Here is a 21,221-nt window from a genome sequence, read left to right as displayed (position 1 = left end):
TAGTCTCTAAAAAGCAAAGGTGCAACCAAGGAGCCCACTTTAAATTAGCTTAAAAAGTTAAGAGTAGAAACAAAGTTCATTTGACGATCTAATAACTATGGACCATAGAAAAGTTGACCCTGGGAGGATATACAGGTTCTGTGCCCCCCACAAATGTATAAAGGGAAAAGAAATGTAATAATTTTGATGTATTTTTTACATTCTCAGTATTTAATAGTCTGCTGTTGCTGTGGTAACCAGCACACTTAACACACTTGTAACTTGGCCTTTGTTCCCTGTCTTGGAGAATGGTTCCACCCTTCACCTAGAGCCTAAGTGTGAAACTTGGGAGCCATCCTAGTCTGCCCTTTGCTCCCAATTGATCACTAAGTCCTGTCAGTTTTATTTATTTAAATTCTCCCAGATCTGCCCCTTCTCTTTTTTTTAATTTCTTCTTTCTTTTTTTATTTATTTTCTTTTTTTTAAATTATACTTTAAGTTCTAGGGTACATGTGCACAACATGCAGGTTTGTTACATAGGTGTACATGTGCCATGTTGATTTGCTGCACCCATTAACTCGTCATTTACATTAGGTAGTTCTCATAATGCTATTCCTCCCCCCTCCCCCACCCCACGACAGGCCCCGGTGTGTGATGTTCCCCTTCCTGTGTCCAAATGTTCTCACTGTTCAGTTCCCACCTATGAGTGAGAACATGTGGTGTTTGGTTTTCTGTCCTTGTAATAGTTTGCTGAGAATGATGGTTTCAGGCTTCATCCGTGTCCCTACAAAGGACATGAACTCATCCTTTTTTATGGCTGCATAGTATTCCATGGTGTATAATGTGCCACATTTTCTTAATCCAGTCTATCATTGATGAACATTTGGGTTGGTTCCAAGTCTTTGCTATTGTGAATAGTGCTGCAATACACATACGTGCGCATGTGTCTTTATAGCAGCATGATTTGTAATCCTTTGGGTATATACCCAGTAATGGGATGGCTGGGTCAAATGGTATTTCTAGTTCTAGATCCTTGAGGAATCGCCACACTGTCTTCCACAATGGTTGAACTAGTTTACAGTCCCACCAGCAGTGTAAAAGTGTTCCTGTTTCTTCATATCCTCTCCAGCACCTGTTGTTTCCTGACTTTTTAGTGATCGCCATTCTAACTGGTGTGAGATGGTATGTCATTGTGGTTTTGATTTGCATTTCTCTGATGGCCAGTGATGATGAGCATTTTTTCATGTGTCTTTTGGCTGCATAAATGTCTTCTTTTGAGAAGTGTCTGTTCATATCCTTTGCCCACTTTTTGATGGGGTTGTTTGTTTTTTTCTTGTAAATTTGTTTGAGTTCTTTGTAGATTCTGGATATTAGCCCTTTGTCAGATGAGTAGATTGCAAAAATTTTCTCCCATTCTGTAGGTTGCCTGTTCACTCTGATGGTAGTTTCTTTTGCTGTGCAGAAGCTCTTTAGTTTAATTAGATCCCGTTTGTCAATTTTGGCTTTTGTTGCCATTGCTTTTGGTGTTTTAGACATGAAGTCCTTGCCCATGCCTATGTCCTGAATGGTATTGCCTAGGTTTTCTTCTAGGGTTTTTATGGTTTTAGGTCTAACATGTAAGTCTTTAATCCATCTTGAATTAATTTTTGTATAAGGCTTAAGGAAGGGATCCAGTTTCAGCTTTCTACATATGGCTATCCAGTTTTCCCAACACCATTTATTAAATAGGGAATCCTTTCCCCATTGCTTGTTTTTGTCAGATTTGTCAAAGATCAGGTGGTTGTAGATGTGTGCTATTATTTCTGGGGGCTCTGTTCTGTTCCATTGGTCTGTATCTCTGTTTTGGTACCAGTACCATGGTGTTTTGGTTACTGTAGCCTTGTAGTGTAGTTTGAAGTCAGGTAGCGTGATGCCTCCAGCTTTGTTTTTTTTGCTTAGGATTGACTTGGCAATGCGGGTTCTTTTTTGGTTCCATATGAGCTTTAAAGTAGTTTTTTCCAATTCTGTGAAGAAAGGCATTGGTAGCTTGATGGGGATGGCATTGAATCTGTAAATTACCTTGGGCAGTATGGCCATTTTCATGATATTGATTCTTCCTACCCATGAGCATGGAATGTTCTTCCATTTGTTTGTTTCCTCTTTTATTTCATTGAGCAGTGGTTTGTAGTTCTCCTTGACGAGGTCCTTCACATCCCTTGTAAGTTGGATTCCTAGGTATTTTATTCTCTTTGAGGCAATTGTGAATGGGAGTTCACTCATGATTTGGCTCTCTGTTTGTCTGTTGTTGGTGTATAAGAATGCTTGTGATTTTTGCACATTGATTTTGTATCCTGAGACTTTGCTGAAGTTGCTTATCAGCTTAAGGAGATTTTGGGCTGAGACAATGGGGTTTTCTAAATACACAATCATGTCATCTGCAAACAGGGACAATTTGACTTCCTCTTTTCCTAATTGAATACCCTTTATTTCCTTCTCCTGCCTAATTGCCCTGGCCAGAACTTCCAACACTATGTTGAATAGGAGTGGTGAGAGAGGGCATCCCTGTCTTGTGCCAGTTTTCAAAGGGAATGCTTCCAGTTTTTGCCCATTCAGTATGATATTGGCTGTGGGTTTGTCATAAATAGCTCTGATTATTTTGAGGTACGTCCCTTCAATACCTAATTTATTAAGAGTTTATAGCATGAAGGGCTGTTGAATTTTGTCAAAGGCCTTTTCTGCATCTATTGAGATAACCGTGTGGTTTTTGTCTTTGGTTCTGTTTATATGCTGGATTACGTTTATTGATTTTCGTATGTTGAACCAGCCTTGCATCCTAGCGATGAAGCCCACTTGATCATGGTGGGTAAGCTTTTTGATGTGCTGCTGGATTCGGTTTGCCAGTATTTTACTGAGGATGTTTGCATCGATGTACATCAGGGATATTGGTCTAAAATTCTCTTTTTTTGTTGCGTCTCTGCCAGGCTTTGGTATCAGGATGATGCTGGCCTCATAAAAGGAGTTAAAGAGGATTCCCTCTTTTTCTATTGATTGGAATAGCTTCAGAAGGAATGGTACCAGCTCCTCCTTGTACCTCTGGTAGAATTTGGCTGTGAATGCATCTGGTCCTGGACTTTTTTTTGGTTGGTAAGCTATTAATTATTGCCTCAATTTCAGAGCCTGTTATTGGTCTATTCAGAGATTCCACTTCTTCCTGGTTTAGTCTTGGGAGGGTGTATGTGTCCAGGAATTTATCCATTTCTTCTAGATTTTCTAGTTTATTTGCATAGAGGTGTTTATAGTATTCTCTGATGGTAGTTTGTATTTCTGTGGGATTGGTGGTGATATCCTCTTTATCATTTTTTATTGCGTCTATTTGATTCTTCTCTCTTTTCTTCTTTATTAGTCTTGCTAGCGGTCTATCAATTTTGTTGATCTTTTCAAAAATAAAAAATAAAAAACCAGCTCCTGGATTCATTGATTTTTTTGAAGGGTTTTTTGTCTCTCTATCTCCTTCAGTTCTGCTTTGATCTTAGTTATTTCTTGCCTTCTGGTAGCTTTTGAATGTGTTTGCTCTTGCTTCTCTAGTTCTTTTAATTGTGATGTTAGGGTGTCAATTTTAGATCTTCCCTGCTTTCTCTTGTGGGCATTTAGTGCTATAAATTTCGCTCTACACACTGGTTTGAATGTGTCCCAGAGATTCTGGTATGTTGTGTCTGTTCTCATTGGTTTCAAATAACATCTTTATTTCTGCCTTCATTTCGTTATGTACCTAGTAGTCACTCAGGAGCAGGTTGTTCAGTTTCCATGTAGTTGTTCGGTTTTGAGTGAGTTTCTTAATCCTGAGTTCTAATTTGATTGCACTGTGGTCTGAGAGATAGTTTGTTGTAATTTCTGTTCTTTCACATTTGCTGAGAAGTGCTTTACTTCTAACTATGTGGTCAGTTTTGGAGTAAATGCGATGTGGTGCTGAGAAGGGTGTATATTCTGTTGATTTGAGGTGGAGAGTTCTGTAGATGTCTATTAGGTCCTCTTGGTGCAGAGCTGAGTTTAATTCCTGGATATCCTTGTTAACTTCCTGTCTCGTTGATCTAATGTTGACAGTAGAGTGCTAAAGTCTCCCATTATTATTGTGTGGGAGTCTTAAGTCTCTTTGTAGGTCTCTAAGGACTTGCTTTATGAATCTGGGTGCTCCTGTATTGGGTGCATTTATATTTAGGATAGTTAGCTCTTCTTGTTGAGTTGATCCCTTTACCATTATGTAATGGCCTTCTTTGTCTGTTTTGATGTTTTTGGTTTAAAGTATGTTTCATCAGAGACTAGGATTGCAACCCCTGCCTTTTTTTGTTTTCCATTTGCTTGGTAGATCTTCCTCCATCCCTTTATTTTGAGCCTATGTGTGTCTCTGCACGTGAGATGGGTCTCCTGAATACAGCACACTGATGGGTCTTGACTCTTTATCCAATTTGCCAGTCTGTGTCTTTTAATTGGGGCATTCAGCCCATTTACATTTAAGGTTAATATTGTTATGTGTGAATTTGATCCTGTCATTATGATGTTAGCTGGTTATTTTGCTTGTTAGTTGATGCAGTTTCTTCCTAGCATCTGTGGTCTTTACAGTCTGGCATATTTTTGCAGTGGCTGGTACCGGTTGTTCCTTTCCATGTTTAATGCTTCCTTCAGGAGCTCTTGTAGGGCAGGCCTGGTGGTGACCAAATCTCTCAGCATTTGCTTGTCTGTAAAGGATTTTATTTCTCCTTCACTTATGAAGCTTAGTTTGGCTGGATATGAAATTCTGGGTTGAAAATCCTTTTCTTTAGGAATGTTGAATATTGGCCCCCGTTCTCTTCTGGCTTGTAGAGTTTCTGCCAAGAGATCTGCTGTTAGTCTGATGGGCTTCGATCTGCCCATTTTTAGTATGCCTCCTGTCTTAAGTGTCACTACCCCACCCACTTACACACACACACACACACACACACACACCATTCCCCTTATAAGTTACCATTTTTGGGGTGCTTACTCCATGTGCCCTCATCATTTCTCACGGGGTTAACAGTCAACCTACCTAGTTGCATGTAGTCAATGTCAGTGCTTTATCAGTCCACCAAAATTCAGCCCTCAGATTGTGTCTTTTCCTCCTAAAATGCAAATTTGATCATGGCATTTTACTGCCTAAAATCCCTCAGTGGTTTTCCACTGTGTTCCAGGTGAAATCCAAACTCACTGGCATGGTTTAACAGTGATTTTCAATCTGAGGATCTGCCTGTGGGTCATGAAATTGGTTTAGTAGGCTATGACCAGCATTGTACATTTTTATTAAAGTAAAATAAATAGGTTGCAGTGGTACCCAGCTGTAGTGCCAGTGACTCAGGAGGCTGAGGCAGGAGGATTGCTTGAGCCCAGTGTGCTAGGATCGCACCTGGGAATAGCCACTGCACTCCAGTCTGGGCAACATAGTGAGACCGAGTCTGAAAAAATAAAAAAGAGTAAAATAGAATAGCAATATCATCACGTGTCATATGTAGTAAGGGTAAATATCACTTCCTTAAACTTTTTTAGTTATTCATATATATCTGTGCGTACTAGTAATGTTATAAAATTTATTAGAGTTGGTTGTGGTCAAAAGGATGAACATCTTACCCCATTCTGTATGCAGTGATTCTTGTTATTTCAGTTTACTCAGATTTTCTCTGCCTGCCTTTATGCCTTTGCTTATTCTGTTGTCTTGGTCTGAAGAGTCTGCCTTCTTCATCTAGCTACCTCACAGGGTTTGTTGTCTTCAGGAATCTTTTCCTGATGGCTATTTACCATAAGAAATACATTTTGTAACACAACCTATGAACCAGTATCCTTACCATATGAGATAACAGTTTTGTCCCCTTGCTCTCTGTCTTAACTTGTCTTACTGGTCTTGTCTGTTTGCTAGTCTGCCTCCATTGAAGATAGAGCCTCTCTTTTTCATCTATACCCTGTGTTAAAGCATAGTAGGTATAGTGTATAGTAGTTAAGTGTTGATTGAATTAATAAAATAGTGAATTAGTATATGTTATATACAGTACTTTACAGTATGTTTTTTTAAGCTTGAATTGTAGAAACTGACTTATGTTTGACTCTCTTAATGGCTTCATTACAGGAGGATTAACTTTCTTAAAGCATTTTAAATTAAAACTTCCATTTTAAGCTGTTTATGAACTGTGATTAGATTCTTCTACCAGAATCTATCGTTATTTTGTGATTTGTGGTCAAGGAAGTGTGTGATGAAGTCCAAATACTGGACATATAATGCTTATTTGATTTTATGGGAAGTATAATGCTTATTTGATTTTATGGGAAGTGGGTGGTTTTAAAAGACTCTCAGATATAATTGTAATCAAATGCAAATTCTGAGGGGATGGGTGGGATATGAAAGCACAGAATCAAATGGAGTTGAATTTCTTTTTTGTTATTTCTAAATTTAAGACGTTTGTCATTGGCATTTCCACAGTTAGAATATTTAGTTGCTTATCGTTTTTTTCTTTGTGAGAAATCATTGTTTGTTAAACCATGAATAGGTTCTCATGGAGAACTGTTATTGAAGAGAGATCCATTTGGTGGGATATAATTAAAAAAAATGAATCAAAAGAAAATCTCTAAATGCAGATTCCAGAAAAATTACAGCACATCTCAGTGAATTTGCAAGTGGTAAGTTTGCTTTTGATTTTACATGGTGATATATTTTGGAATTATGGGCCATAGTATCCTTGGAGTCTTATGCTTAGATGCACTTAATTGTCAGTTAGCAAATGTAGTTACTTTATGTTTATTTAAAAGTTTTTATACTAAATTTTAACCAAACCTGTTTTCTTAAATAAGACTTTTTCTATAGAGAAAAATAATCTGTAAATAATATGAGTTTCAGAAACATCTTTCTGAATCGTAAGTCTTATATGGCTTTACAGCGAATCCTTCTGTACTTCATTTTTAAAAATATTAATTTTAAAAGCATTTACTATAAGGATAATATATAGTGACAAAGAGGCCTAAATTAAACAGTTAGTTTGTAAGTTTAGTGTCTCTTAGGTTATCTTTATTTTTAAGTTAATTGAAAAGAATTTAGAAGTACATGGTTGTTGATAAACTTAGAAGAACACATAAATATTTGAAAGCCTTCCTTTTCACTACTCCTTTCTCTTTCAGCCCATTGAGAACAGTTTGGCTGGTCTGTTTTCTTGCAGTCTTTTCTTCCTGCACTTGTGCAGAAATTACTTATGCACATACCTGCATATTTTTTCTAACAAAAATGTTATATAAACTATTCTATAAGTTGCTTCCCGAACACTTAATTTTGAAAAATTTCAAACAGAAGCATTGGAAGAATTTTGTTTAACATCGGAATACCTATGACTTAGATTCTTACCTAACATTTTAACAAATTTCAGCACATACTCATCTGTCTTTCTGTCCACTATGTTATTAATATGGGGGATTCATTTCAAAGTAAATTGCAGATGTCAGTATGCTTCCTCTCTACATAATTCAGTATACATATTGCTAACTAGATCTCTGTATTGGTTTACAGATTCTTAAAGGTAAATTTACGTACCATGACATGCAACAATCTTAAGTGTACATATGCTGAGTTTTGATAAATTCATCTTTGTAACTCAGACTCCATTATCAATAGAAACATGCTTGTTAGCACCACAGAGAGTTCCCTCATGCCTCTTCCTGGTCTGTCTCTATCCCTGTCTCTTTCCAGAAAAACCGGTTACGGTCTGTTCCCTCTCCACTCCTAATGGATTTTGCCTATATCACTTGCTTTATTCACTCAGCAGTATGTTGTGGGTAGTTATATGCAGATCTAAATCTGCCTTCTTTTCTGCCTTAAAAAAAATTGCAATAGCTTGGAAATAGTCTACACTATGGGTGTATTAGAATTTATTTGATCATTCCCTTTTCTCTACATGGACATTTAGATTGTGCCATATTTTTGTGATTACAGAAAGTGCTGTATCCTTGTACATCCTTGTCTGTATATATACAGTCTCAGGAGTACTTTTTAGGTAATACTAAAAATAAAACTGCTGTGTAAAAGAGTTTTACCTTTTGATACATACTGCCAAATTGCCCTCCCAGGATGATTGTATCAGCTTACATGCCCACCAATAATGTATGAGAGTGTCCTTTTTTTTCTGTGCCCTCTTAACATTGGATATCATCTTTCTAAAAGTTTTTCAATACAGTAGATGAAAAATGTACCTTGTTAATTCCTAATCAGTAATGATTAGCCATTGGATTTTTTTCCCTTTGTGAATTGCTTCTTTATATATTTATGTTGTATGCCTCTTGTCGGTCATGTGTTGCAGTATTTTTTCCAGGAATGCTTTGTCTTTTAACTTTGCTTTTCATGTGTTTTGGGCTTCAGATGTGTTAATTTTTATGTGGTCAGACATGGTTGATTGGTCTTCATTGTGAAGGCCTTCCTTATTCCAAGAATATAAAACCACTTGCTATTCTAATAGTTTTCCTTTTAATGAAATTTAGAAGAAAAAGATAAATCATTGTGAACTGAAGTGCCAGGAAAAATTTCAAATGGAGAGTGAGATTCAAATTGGCCTTGAAGTCTGAGTTGAATTTAGATGAGTAAGCAGAATGGTAGGCACATTTCAGACAGGAGGCATGGATGGAATATCGTCGAACAGTGGTAAACAGGACCGCTTAGGCTAAGGTGAAGAATCACGTAAAACTGTAAGCATAGACATACGTGTTCGGATAGATTTCTTGGTAATTATTTTGGCTAATCTTTATGCTTTTCTAAAATCTACATCTTGATGTTATAGTTTTCTGTCATTTTCATGGTGACTTGAATATTCTTCTTGAGGAGAATATATGGTGAAATACAGTTGCCTGAAAAGGCAAAAAATAGTGGTATTCCTTTGGAGTAAGTTGAACATTATAAATATTTACTCAGTCTGGTTTATTAGAGTTAAATTATAATTGTTTTTAAAGTTTGTGCTGTAGTAATTTACATCATTTAGTCACTGTAGTCAACTATAGTTACCAGATAGCAATCTTAAAAAATGTTGAAGTACCAGTATATCCACTAGTTACTTAATCAGAGTTTTGAGTTAAGAGCTCACCATTTAATATACAAATTAGTATGTCAGAATCTCCAGCTAATGAAAGTATTTTATGAATGCTGTCCTTAAGACCGAGTAACAGCATTGTGTTCAGTTTGGTTGTTGCTCAGGATGTGTAATAGTTTCTCTTCAGCCATAAGCCACGCCTGGTAGATATTAATTGAGTGGAGAGATCTTGCACCTCTTCCAGTTATGCATTTGTGGTTTGTCGTCTGATTTGGAGCACTTGGAAGATCACTGTTTTGTGTTCTACGACCCAATTGAGAGGATTATGTGGAGCTAAGTTTTACCAATCAGGTATTAAAAAAAATATATTCAACATCTTATTTGTTTGTTGTTTTATTTTTCTATCCTGTGCTCACTTTTCCTTAGGGATGCTTGCTCTTTTAGAGAGTGTCATCTATGTATGTTTACATCCAGGAAAAATGGACATATTTTAAACTATACTTTTCACTATGTAATTTTTTGTTGCTGTGAGAGATCTCTTCCAGTGATGAAGAAAAATTTGTTCTCTAGTAGAGGAGAATAAAAATAGAGTTCAAAAATTAATATTTGATAATTTTGCCAGTCGTTTTGCTGGCTCATGTACTTTTCTGCTTCTAATGTTAATAAATTTAAGCTACTCTCATATATACTTAGTGAAATTCATGTTCTGTTTTTAGTCCTGAATAGAACTGAAAAATTAAAGAAAGAAAGGTACATAAAATTAATAATATTGAACACGTTGAGAGAGCACTTGTCATTTCTTTTAGCACTTGATAATTGGCAAGACTAAAAAATTAACATTGTCTTGAATGTTTCTCTTTTTAACTGTGTAGATAGCTTACCATTTGTATTTGAGATTCCTTTATTAAAATGATTCTTAGCAAATTAAATAGCATGCTTTATCCTGTCTGACTTTCTTCATTTTAATGATACCAATCTGTCTTTTGATTTTTAAATTAAAAGATAAATAAATGAAACTTTTATTAGTTTAGTGGCCTGGGCACTATTTCTGTTTTAGAATTCATACACAAGTTAGAACATACCGGATTTAAACTATTAAGTGGTATTACATTTGAGTTCTTTTTTTGTTTTGTTTTTTGTTTTTTTTCTGCTGCCCCAATATTTGCAGGAACTAGGGATGAGAAACTGGGGGTATTCCTTTAAAATCAAGTATTCCTTAATCTCTTTTTCTTTGTTTCAGTAGCTTTATAGCTTTGAAGAACATGGGCAAGGCCTCTAAGGGATGGTGCCCTGAGGCTTTTCAATTGATTATGAATTGTTCTTAGAATGAAGTAGACTGGGATATAGGCTGAAAATCTGGGAATCACCCTTGACACTTTCCCCTGTAACCCCTAATATCTAATCAACCAGAAAAACACACTGGTTCGATTCTAGCAGTTGCTCCTTTCTGCAAACCTAATTTTGGCTTTTGCCTTCTCTTAGCCTAATGGACCTCTGTCTTTAATTTTATCATTCACACCAGAGCTTCAGTAATTTATTCACGGTACACATTTCGTCATGTTAATCCCCTGCTTCAATAGCTTTCCATTGCCGAAGAATTCAGTCTTAGCATTCTAACATGGCATCTTTATGTCCTTCATGATATAGGCCCATATTTCTTAGCACTCACTCTCCACAGAAAGCTTTATGATTTGTGATGGCAGGTTGTAATACCTCCCACAATTTCTACTCTTGCTCCTCCTATTCCTTCTGTTTGCAGTATTCTTGTCACTTTTCATTGCTTAGATAACTTTTACTAACCTTCTAAGACTGAATTCAGGTTTCACTTCTTACAGTAAGTCTTACTTGATTCCTCGTTTAACTGGTCCCATCTTCTGTGCCCCTACTAACATTTTGTTTTCAAATCTGGAACTTACCATATTATATTAAATCTTTTTTCTGATTCTTTTTCCCATTAGACTGTTCCTTTAAGCAAAGACCATGTCTTCTTCATCATTGTATCTGCAGTGTCTAGCAAGTGATAGGTGTGTAGTGGAGGCTCAGTGAATATTTGTTGAACTAAGTGAGTTCAACTCATTGTGGTAACATTGAAGTGTTAGTGAAGCTCATGGGTCAGTGCTTCCTAGACACCAGTCAGCTGTTTTCAGACTCTTGCAGAGCATTTTACAACATTTTATTGTTTTTTGAGTTTTATGAAGAATTATGATTCAGTAGATGTAGAATGGGGTCTGGGAATATGTATTTTTAAAAAGCTCCCCAGGTGTTTTTGGTTTTCTTACAGGCTAGAGAACCGTTGTCCTAGTTTATTATTATACCATTGTATTTTACGTAAAAGGTACCCCCTAGACTTTATACAGCAATTTATTATTTCATCCTTGGAAGTTATATCTACCAAAGTATGGATGTATTTTTAGTCACTTTTTTGGTACCATATTTATATAGAAGTATTTTAAGTCCTTAAGTGTCTCATTGAGAGATCTGTTGGCATATTGTTAACACTCAACTAAAAAAAGCCTCATTTAAACAGGAGTCTTCTTCAGTTGATCATAATGAGATTTGTTGGGCTTCATTCTATGAATTTTAGTATTTTTGGCAATTTGTAATTAGTTTTCACTTTTTATTGTCATTTTTCAAAATACTTAAAAAATGTTTTATTGTAGTTTAAAATTAAACTAGAGTGCACAAATCTGAAGTATACAGCTCAGTGAATGTTTACATATGTAGATACACATAAAGTACCACCCAGGTCAAGATATGGAACGTTTCCCAACCCCTCGTTCTCTCATGTTCCTTTTCAGTTAATATACACCCCTGCAACCACAAGGTAACCACTGTTTTGACTTGTGTGACCCATCAGTCTTCTGATTAAAGCTACTAAAAATTTTTGTACATAATCTTTTGGTGGACACGTGTATTCATTTCTTTTGGGTTTACACAGGAAGTTGCTGGGTTAAGGACAAACTTGTGTTTTAAATTCAGTAGATGATTCCAGTTTATACCTGTGATAGCAGTTCATAGTGAAACATTGAAATTATTTGAAGCTTATGATAAAATTTGAATATCCTGAAACTTCTGTTTGTTTTCCCAAGTATTTATTGTAAAAATATATATACAAAGAAATATCAATAAATATATCAACTACAGAAAGAAAATGTCAAATATGCAAAGAAAACTCAATGTCATTTTATAAAAGTTGCCAGAAATACAGGTTTTAGTCAAATTTTTCTATGTAAGTAATTATTTTCTTTGTTCCTTCTCCTTAGGATCATCCTTCCTTGTGGGTTAGCAGGCAGTTATAAGATTGCAAAATGGGTCTCCGGATTCACTTTGTTGTTGACCCACATGGTTGGTGCTGCATGGGTTTGATTGTCTTTGTTTGGTTATACAATATTGTTTTAATTCCCAAAATTGTCCTCTTTCCTCACTATGAAGAAGGACATATTCCAGGCATATTAATAATAAGTAAGTTTCTTGATCTTTATTTTCTTGTATAATTATTTTTCTCATTGTAAACGTTTTTGGGGTGTAGTGCCACTATGATAACTTTCCTTTTAATATATTTAGTATTTTAGCAGTGCTGTCAATATTCAGTTATTTACTAATTTATGAACTTATGGAAATAATGGCCTTTATAGATTTGCAGTTAGATAAAAGTGATATCTCCATTTTTAACTGCAAAGTGCATGAAGACCATTTTGTTAAAAATAGAAAACTGACACAGTAGTGATAACTTGCATGTCTCTCTGTATTTTTATTATTGCTGTTTTGTACCTAATTACAAATGTAGATGTTTTAAGAATAGAGACAGTATACATTACTGAGAAGTGAGAATTTCATAAGAAAAGTATTGATTACGAAGTTGATTATGATAACACTTGGAACTTCTGGATAGTTATTAGTCAATTGGTGATGGCTTGCTTATGATTAAAATAAATTGAAATTATATATTTTACATGTACATGGCATTTACAGTTTTCATGCACATTACCTCATTTTGACCTCACACGAACCATGGGAAATTTTATATATATATGATAAAACTGACCGGTACTATGCAGTCAGTCCTGGATTGAGCACTCAGACTATTCCCTTTACATGTACAGTATGTTTTTTTTTTTTATCGCCCCAACAGAATTTCTCTATTCTTACTAATTTAAAAATGTAGAATTATGGTGGCCAAATCTGTTTTCCCTTACTATTTTTGTTTTCTGGTTATTAATTTTAAAATTAAAAAGTTTCTAAGTCTTAATTATCAAACTAATCATTTTAAGATCCATCAAAAGGGACAGTTGAACATCACTAATTCAGAGTAATATTGAAGATACCCAGTTAGTTAATGAAAAAGTTTAGTTGTAGAATTTAAAATGGTATTTTGATCCTTTCAAATATAGAACATGCAGTAATTAAACGGGAGCCTATTCATTTATGCCATTATTAATAGGAAGTCCCTGTTATTAAGGGATCTGATTTATAAGAACTTTGAGTTACTATCATGTAAAATAATAATTAAAATTAGTAATGATTAAAATTAGGACTATTTAAGATAGTCCTCCTGACAGTGTTATTTGGTGAGTGAAATCAATTATTTATTTTTTAATCTTTTGAAATTTTTTCTCCTGATGGTGTTTGTTAAAATATACATTTTAAACTTTAAATATGATTGTTGATAAAATGTTTTGAAGGGTAAGTGACTAATTTATTTAATTTATTTATTTTAAAGTATTCTATGGCATTTCCATATTCTGTCTGGTTGCCTTAGTGAGGGCCTCCATAACTGATCCAGGAAGACTCCCTGAGAACCCCAAGATCCCACATGGAGGTATGGTACTCTGGATTTATCAGTTTTGCTGATGCCAGAATTACTGTCTTTATTTACATATTTTATTGCCTTTAATATATATTGGTTATAAATGTCATCTAACACCACTTTGATGTCTTTGCTTGTATGTGTCTTTTCCAAACTTCTCTACTTAAAATTGCAACCCTGCTCCCCCTGCACCCCGGCAGTTTCACCACACCCCATCTCTTGGCTTCTGTATCACATATCATATGATCCTCATGGTAATTGTATGAGGTAGGTAGGCTGGGTGGTCAGGAGCATAGATTGTCCTTCCTGGGTTAAACATCTGGTTGTTGGTGTGCGATCCAGCCCAAAGACCCAGAACCTTGTCTCTGTCATCTTATTACCATGGATCTATGTACAGAGATAATTTTAGCTTTTTATTCACCTTTGTTACGAATCTGGGGAAAACTTAAGTCATAATGTACTTTTTGGTGCTGGTTACCTGATTCTTTTGTAAATATGATTTTAATTTAGTAAAAAAAAATACAAAATTTTAACAGTGAAAGATAATATTGAATGCCTAGAGAGTTGAAACTGTAGAATAGTGACATTTATTCAGGAATGTTTAAAGGTTGAGCAGTTTCATATAACTGAATTCTTCAAAAAAGGGATCTTGAAGTCCTAATACTTTGGTGATTTTAACTATTTTTTTATTGAATTACTCTGAAGTATTTTACATGCGTTTCTGCTTTTTTAAAACACAATGACTTCAGTATATATGTGACCCACTAAATATGAGGCAATTTGAATATAAGGAAATGTTCCATTTTCCCATGAGAAGATTCCCAGAATTTGACTTTATAAACTTTTGAGCATATAGATGAAACAGTCAAATGAAATAGTTACATGTTTGTTTATATTACTTGAATTGTTCATGTGTGTATTTGAAATAAAACAAAATGAACACCTTCAGTTAGAAATATTTTTATCACTTTCATATTTTATGAAATTTTATTCAAGTTCTTAACTATGTTTAAAAATGGTTTATTGAGTATAATTTACATGCCATATAATTTACCCAGTTAGAGTGTACAATTCTATGGGTTTTTGTATGCCCACAGTTGTGTAACCATCACTGCAATCAACTTTAGAACATTTTAATCGAGTTTTTCACTTGAATGTTCGACATGTGGTTTTGTCATTACTAGAGCCATGTTTTTTGACATAGCATTACAGTGGAAATTCTTTCAAGTTAAAAAAAATGCGTCCTGTTTTGATGCAGTCTCTCAAAAATTTACCCCAAGCTCTAAGGATTCCTGTATTCAGTAATCAGGGTCATGTATTCACTCATAGTTTTAGTTTGATCCTCCCTCTTACATTGCTTTTTAAAGGTGATCTGTGAGAGACTTACTGACATTTATTTCCTACATTGACAACTGATTCTTGTTAGGGAATCTCTGTTAGGACCCAAACTTTGTATTGATTTAGGTAATTTCAAGTAATGTTTTTCTTCTCAAAGCATTACATAGTGATTTTAAATGTATTAATTGAGTGAGGGTCCCTTAAAATGAGAGTCTTTTAAAAGACTCATGTAGAAGGTGATTCCTTCCTTTCTGAGGGTCAAACAAACCAAGCATTGCATTATATTCATTCAAGCATTCACAGCATTAGTAAATCTCCAGGTTAAACAAAATGATGTATTTACTCACATTAAACAGCCTCAGTCATGGAGTTTGCCTTTTTTTTGGTTTTGTTTTATATTTTGATTTTTCTCTCCCTTAAAAATGTATCTGTTAGCTTTTAATTTTTTAAAGCTATCATAAATTTTCAGTTGAATTCTTTTTCTCATAGTCTTTTTAAAAACATTATTACTTGGCTAGTACAAAAATCACTAGACATCAGAATGTATCAGTCGCCAAGATCCTTTGTGGACATGAGTAAAGGAAGGAAAGGGAAATGACTAAGAAAGGCTTTAGAGATATGTAGGGTGTGTTAAGATGGATGGATTTTTTTTCTTGCTACACAAGGCAAAAGCACCTTCTAGATGATCAATTAAATTGCTGGATTTTTGACAATAGTGATTTCTCCTCTGTTCCCTAAACATATAGATATGTATGTGTTCATATAGATATGTGAAACTGTGAGTTTTTACAGGTATTTCTCATTTTAGATACTTATGTAATATCTTCATGTTATCAAAGGAATGACTCAAGTTCTTTCTTTAAATCAATTTATGGTCCAGACCATAGATTAGCAAATAAATTCTTCTTTACTATAAAGGCCCGTAGTAAATATTTTCAGCTTTATGGGCCATACAGTCTCTATTACAACTCCTCAGCTCTGCCACTGAAACACAAAAGCAGCCATAGACAATATGTAAATGATGGGTACATCAAACTTTGTTTATGGACCCAGAAATTTGAATTTTATGATTTTACATGTCACAAATTGTTATTTTCAATAATTTAAAATTGTAAAAATTATTCTTAGCTCATAGGTCATACAGAAACAGGTGGTAGACTGGATTTGCCTGCAGACTGTAGTTTGTATCTGTGGTCTAGATTACAAAATTGTAGGCTTTCTCTAACTATTGCCAAGTGCTCTCTTCTGAGAATACATTTTAGATATAAAATGAAGAATTTATTCTCTAGGATATTATATGCTGATTTCTCAGAAATTACCAATAATGAATACACCGTGTTTATGTTTTAAGTGGCTGATAAAAACAAATTTTTATATCGCCTTTTAGTGAAAATTGGCTCGTTGTGGAGCGCCTCCTTCCTGTCTATATTCCTTGCAATGTGTGAATTCAAAGTTTTTTTGTTTGTTTGTTTTGTTTTTTTTTGTTTATTTGTTTTTTTATTATACTTTAAGTTTTAGGGTACATGTGCACATTGTGCAGGTTAGTTACATATGTATACATGTGCCATGCTGGTGCACTGCACCCACTAACTCGTCATCTAGCATTAGGTATATCTCCCAATGCTATCCCTCCCCCCTCCCCCCACCCCACCACAGTCCCTAGAGTGTGATATTCCCCTTCCTGTGTCCATGTGATCTCATTGTTCAATTCCCACCTATGAGTGAGAATATGGAGTGTTTGGTTTTTTGTTCTTGCGATAGTTTACTGAGAATGATGATTTCCAATTTCATCCACGTCCCTACAAAGGACATGAACTCATCATTTTTTATGGCTGCATAGTATTCCATGGTGTATATGTGCCACATTTTCTTAATCCAGTCTATCATTGTTGGACATTTGGGTTGGTTCCAAGTCTTTGCTATTGTGAATAATGCTGCAATAAACATACGTGTGCATGTGTCTTTATAGCAGCATGATTTATAGTCATTTTGGGTATATACCCAGTAATGGGATGGCTGGGTCAAATGGTATTTCTAGTTCTAGATCCCTGAGGAATCGCCACACTGACTTCCACAATGGTTGAACTAGTTTACAGTCCCACCAACAGTGTAAAAGTGTTCCTATTTCTCCACATCCTCTCCAGCACCTGTTGTTTCCTGACTTTTTAATGATCGCCATTCTAACTGGTGTGAGATGGTATCTCATAGTGGTTTTGATTTGCATTTCTCTGATGGCCAGTGATGATGAGCATTTTTTCATGTGTCTTTTGGCTGCATAAATGTCTTCTTTTGAGAAGTGTCTGTTCATGTCCTTCGCCCACTTTTTGATGGGGTTGTTTGTTTTTTTCTTGTAAATTTGTTTGAGTTCATTGTAGATTCTGGATATTAGCCCTTTGTCAGATGAGTAGGTTGCGAAAATTGTCTCCCATTTTGTAGGTTGCCTGTTCACTCTGATGGTAGTTTCTTTTGCTGTGCAGAAGCTCTTTAGTTTAATTAGATCCCATTTGTCAATTTTGTCTTTTGTTGCCATTGCTTTTGGTGTTTTGGACATGAAGTCCTTGCCCATGCCTATGTCCTGAATGGTAATGCCTAGGTTTTCTTCTAGGGTTTTTATGGTTTTAGGTCTAACATTTAAATCTTTAATCCATCTTGAATTGATTTTTGTATAAGGTGTAAGGAAGGGATCCAGTTTCAGCTTCCTACATATGGCTAGCCAGTTTTCCCAGCACCATTTATTAAATAGGGAATCCTTTCCCCATTGCTTGTTTTTCTCAGGTTTGTCAAAGATCAGATAGTTGTAGTTATGCGGCATTATTTCTGAGGGCTCTGTTCTGTTCCATTGGTCTATATCTCTGTTTTGGTACCAGTACCATGCTGTTTTGGTTACTGTAGCCTTGTTGTATAGTTTGAAGTCAGGTCGTGTGATTCCTCCAGCTTTGTTCTTTTGGCTTAGGATTGACTTGGCAATGCGGGCTCTTTTTTGGTTCCATATGAACTTTAAAGTAGTTCTTTCCAATTCTGTGAAGAAAGTCATTGGTAGCTTGATGGGGATGGCATTGAATCTGTAAATTACCTTGGGCAGTATGGCCATTTTCACGATATTGATTCTTCCTACCCATGAGCATGGAATGTTCTTCCATTTGTTTGTATCCTCTTTTATTTCCTTGAGCAGTGGTTTGTAGTTCTCCTTGAAGAGGTCCTTCACATCCCTTGTAAGTTGGATTCCTAGGTATTTTATTCTCTTTGAGGCAATTGTGAATGGGAGTTCACTCATGATTTGGCTCTCTGTTTGTCTGTTGTTGATGTATAAGAATGCTTGTGATTTTTGTACATTGATTTTGTATCCTGAGACTTTGCTGAAGTTGCTTATCAGCTTAAGGAGATTTTGGGCTGAGACAGTGGGGTTTTCTAGATAAACAATCATGTCATCTGCAAAGAGGGACAATTTGACTTCCTCTTTTCCTAATTGAATACCCTTTATTTCCTTCTCCTGCCTAATTGCCCTGGCCAGAACTTCCAACACTATGTTGAATAGGAGTGGTGAGAGAGGGCATCCCTGTCTTGTGCCAGTTTTCAAAGGGAATGCTTCCAGTTTTTGCCCATTCAGTATGATATTGGCTGTGGGTTTGTCATAGATAGCTCTTATTATTTTGAAATACGTCCCATCAATACCTAATTTATTGAGAGTTTTTAGCATGAAGGGTTGTTGAATTTTGTCAAAGGCCTTTTCTGCATCTATTGAGATAATCATGTGGTTTTTGTCTTTGGTTCTGTTTATATGCTGGATTACATTTATTGATTTGCATATATTGAACCAGCCTTGCATCCCAGGGATGAAGCCCACTTGATCATGGTGGATAAGCTTTTTGATGTGCTGCTGGATTCGGTTTGCCAGTATTTTATTGAGGATTTTTGCATCAATGTTCATCAAGGATATTGGTCTAAAATTCTCTTTTTTGGTTGTGTCTCTGCCCGGCTTTGGTATCAGAATGATGCTGGCCTCATAAAATGAGTTAGGGAGGATTCCCTCTTTTTCTATTGATTGGAATAGTTTCAGAAGGAAGGGTATCAGTTCCTCCTTGTACCTCTGGTAGAATTTGGCTGTGAATCCATCTGGTCCTGGACTCTTTTTGGTTGGTAAACTATTGATTATTGCCACAATTTCAGCTCCTGTTATTCGTCTATTCAGAGATTCAACTTCTTCCTGGTTTAGTCTTGGGAGAGTGTATGTGTCGAGGAATTTATCCATTTCTTCTAGATTTTCTAGTTTATTTGAGTAGAGGTGTTTGTAGTATTCTCTGATGGTAGTTGGTATTTCTGTGGGATCAGTGGTGATATCCCCTTTATCATTTTTTATTGCATCTATTTGATTCTTCTCTCTTTTTTTCTTTATTAGTCTTGCTAGCGGTCTATCAATTTTGTTGATCCTTTCAAAAAACCAGCTCCTGGATTCATTGATTTTTTGAAGGGTTTTTTGTGTCTCTATTTCCTTCAGTTCTGCTCTGATTTTAGTTATTTCTTGCCTTCTGCTAGCTTTTGAATGTGTTTGCTCTTGCTTTTCTAGTTCTTTTAATTGTGATGTTAGGGTGTCAATTTTGGATCTTTCCTGCTTTCTCTTGTGGGCATTTAGTGCTATAAATTTCCCTCTACACACTGCTTTGAATGCGTCCCAGAGATTCTGGTATGTTGTGTCTTTGTTCTTGTTGGTTTCAAAGAACATCTTTATTTCTGCCTTCATTTCGTTATGTACCCAGTAGTCATTCAGGAGCAGGTTGTTCAGTTTCCATGTAGTTGAGCGGCTTTGAGTGGGATTCTTAATCCTGAGTTCTAGTTTGATTGCACTGTGGTCTGAGAGACAGTTTGTTATAATTTCTGTTCTTTTACATTTGCTGAGGAGAGCTTTACTTCCTACTATGTGGTCAATTTTGGAATAGGTGTGGTGTGGTGCTGAAAAAAATGTATATTCTGTTGATTTGGGGTGGAGAGTTCTGTAGATGTCTATTAGGTCTGCCTGGTGCAGAGCTGAGTTCAATTCCTGGGTATCCTTGTTGACTTTCTGTCTCGTTGATCTGTCTAATGTTGACAGTGGGGTGTTAAAGTCTCCCATTATTAATGTGTGGGAGTCTAAGTCTCTTTGTAGGTCACTCAGGACTTGATTTATGAATCTGGGTGCTCCTGTATTGGGTGCATATATATTTAGGATAGTTAGCTCTTCTTGTTGAATTGATCCCTTTACCATTATGTAATGGCCTTCTTTGTCTCTTTTGATCTTTGTTGGTTTAAAGTCTGTTTTATCAGAGACTAGGATTGCAACCCCTGCCTTTTTTTGTTTTCCATTTGCTTGGTAGATCTTCCTCCATCCTTTTATTTTGAGCCTATGTGTGTCTCTGCACGTGAGATGGGTTTCCTGAATACAGCACAGTGATGGGTCTTGACTCTTTATCCAATTTGCCAGTCTGTGTCTTTTAATTGGAGAATTTAGTCCATTTATATTTAAAGTTAATATTGTTATGTGTGAATTTGATCCTGTCATTATGATGATAGCTGGTGATTTTGCTCGTTAGTTGATGCAGTTTCTTCCTAGTCTCGATGGTCTTTACATTTTGGCATGATTTTGCAGCGGCTGGTACCCGTTGTTCCTTTCCATGTTTAGCGCTTCCTTCAGGAGCTCTTTTAGGGCAGGCCTGGTGGTGACAAAATTGGTCAGCATTTGCTTGTCTGTAAAGGATTTTATTTCTCCTTCACTTATGAAGCTTAGTTTGGCTGGATATGAAATTCTGGGTTGAAAATTCTTTTCTTTAAGAATGTTGAATATTGGCCCCCACTCTCTTCTGGCTTGTAGGGTTTCTGCCGAGAGATCCGCTGTTAGTCTGATGGGCTTCCCTTTGAGGGTAACCCGACCTTTCTCTCTGGCTGCCCTTAACATTTTTTCCTTCATTTCAACTTTGGTGAATCTGACAATTATGTGTCTTGGAGTTTTTCTTCTTGGGGAGTATCTTTGTGGCGTTCTCTGTATTTCCTGAATCTGAACGTTGGCCTGCCTTGCTAGATTGGGG

At 35.8% G+C, this 21,221-nt stretch overlaps 1 protein-coding gene across 31 annotated transcripts in view; it reads left to right on the top strand.

Moving 5' to 3' along the window:
* Window positions 1–21,221, top strand: part of ZDHHC21 (zDHHC palmitoyltransferase 21) — a 104,636-nt gene that overhangs the window by 6,764 nt on the left and 76,651 nt on the right. For 9 of the 31 annotated variants that reach the window (NR_148716.2, NR_148715.2, NR_148718.2 and 6 more), the window contains 3 exons: window positions 6,507–6,636; window positions 12,284–12,482; window positions 13,741–13,839. Coding sequence is in view for 13 of the 31 variants with exons in the window: in NM_178566.6 (NP_848661.1) it covers window positions 12,329–12,482; window positions 13,741–13,839 (253 nt within the window). In the remaining 18 variants the exon portion in view is untranslated. Of the gene's footprint in view, window positions 1–2,939; window positions 3,103–6,506; window positions 9,372–12,283; window positions 12,483–13,740; window positions 13,840–21,221 lie in introns of those variants that run through there. The other 22 variants (NR_148714.2, NR_148717.2, NM_001354127.2 and 19 more) reach the window with 12 other exon arrangements.

Source organism: Homo sapiens, chromosome 9 (assembly GCF_000001405.40).
Source record: "Homo sapiens chromosome 9, GRCh38.p14 Primary Assembly".
Taxonomy (NCBI): domain Eukaryota; kingdom Metazoa; phylum Chordata; class Mammalia; order Primates; family Hominidae; genus Homo; species Homo sapiens.
The sequence above is the reverse complement of the archived record's forward strand: the minus strand, read 5'-3'. Positions and strand labels throughout refer to the sequence as shown.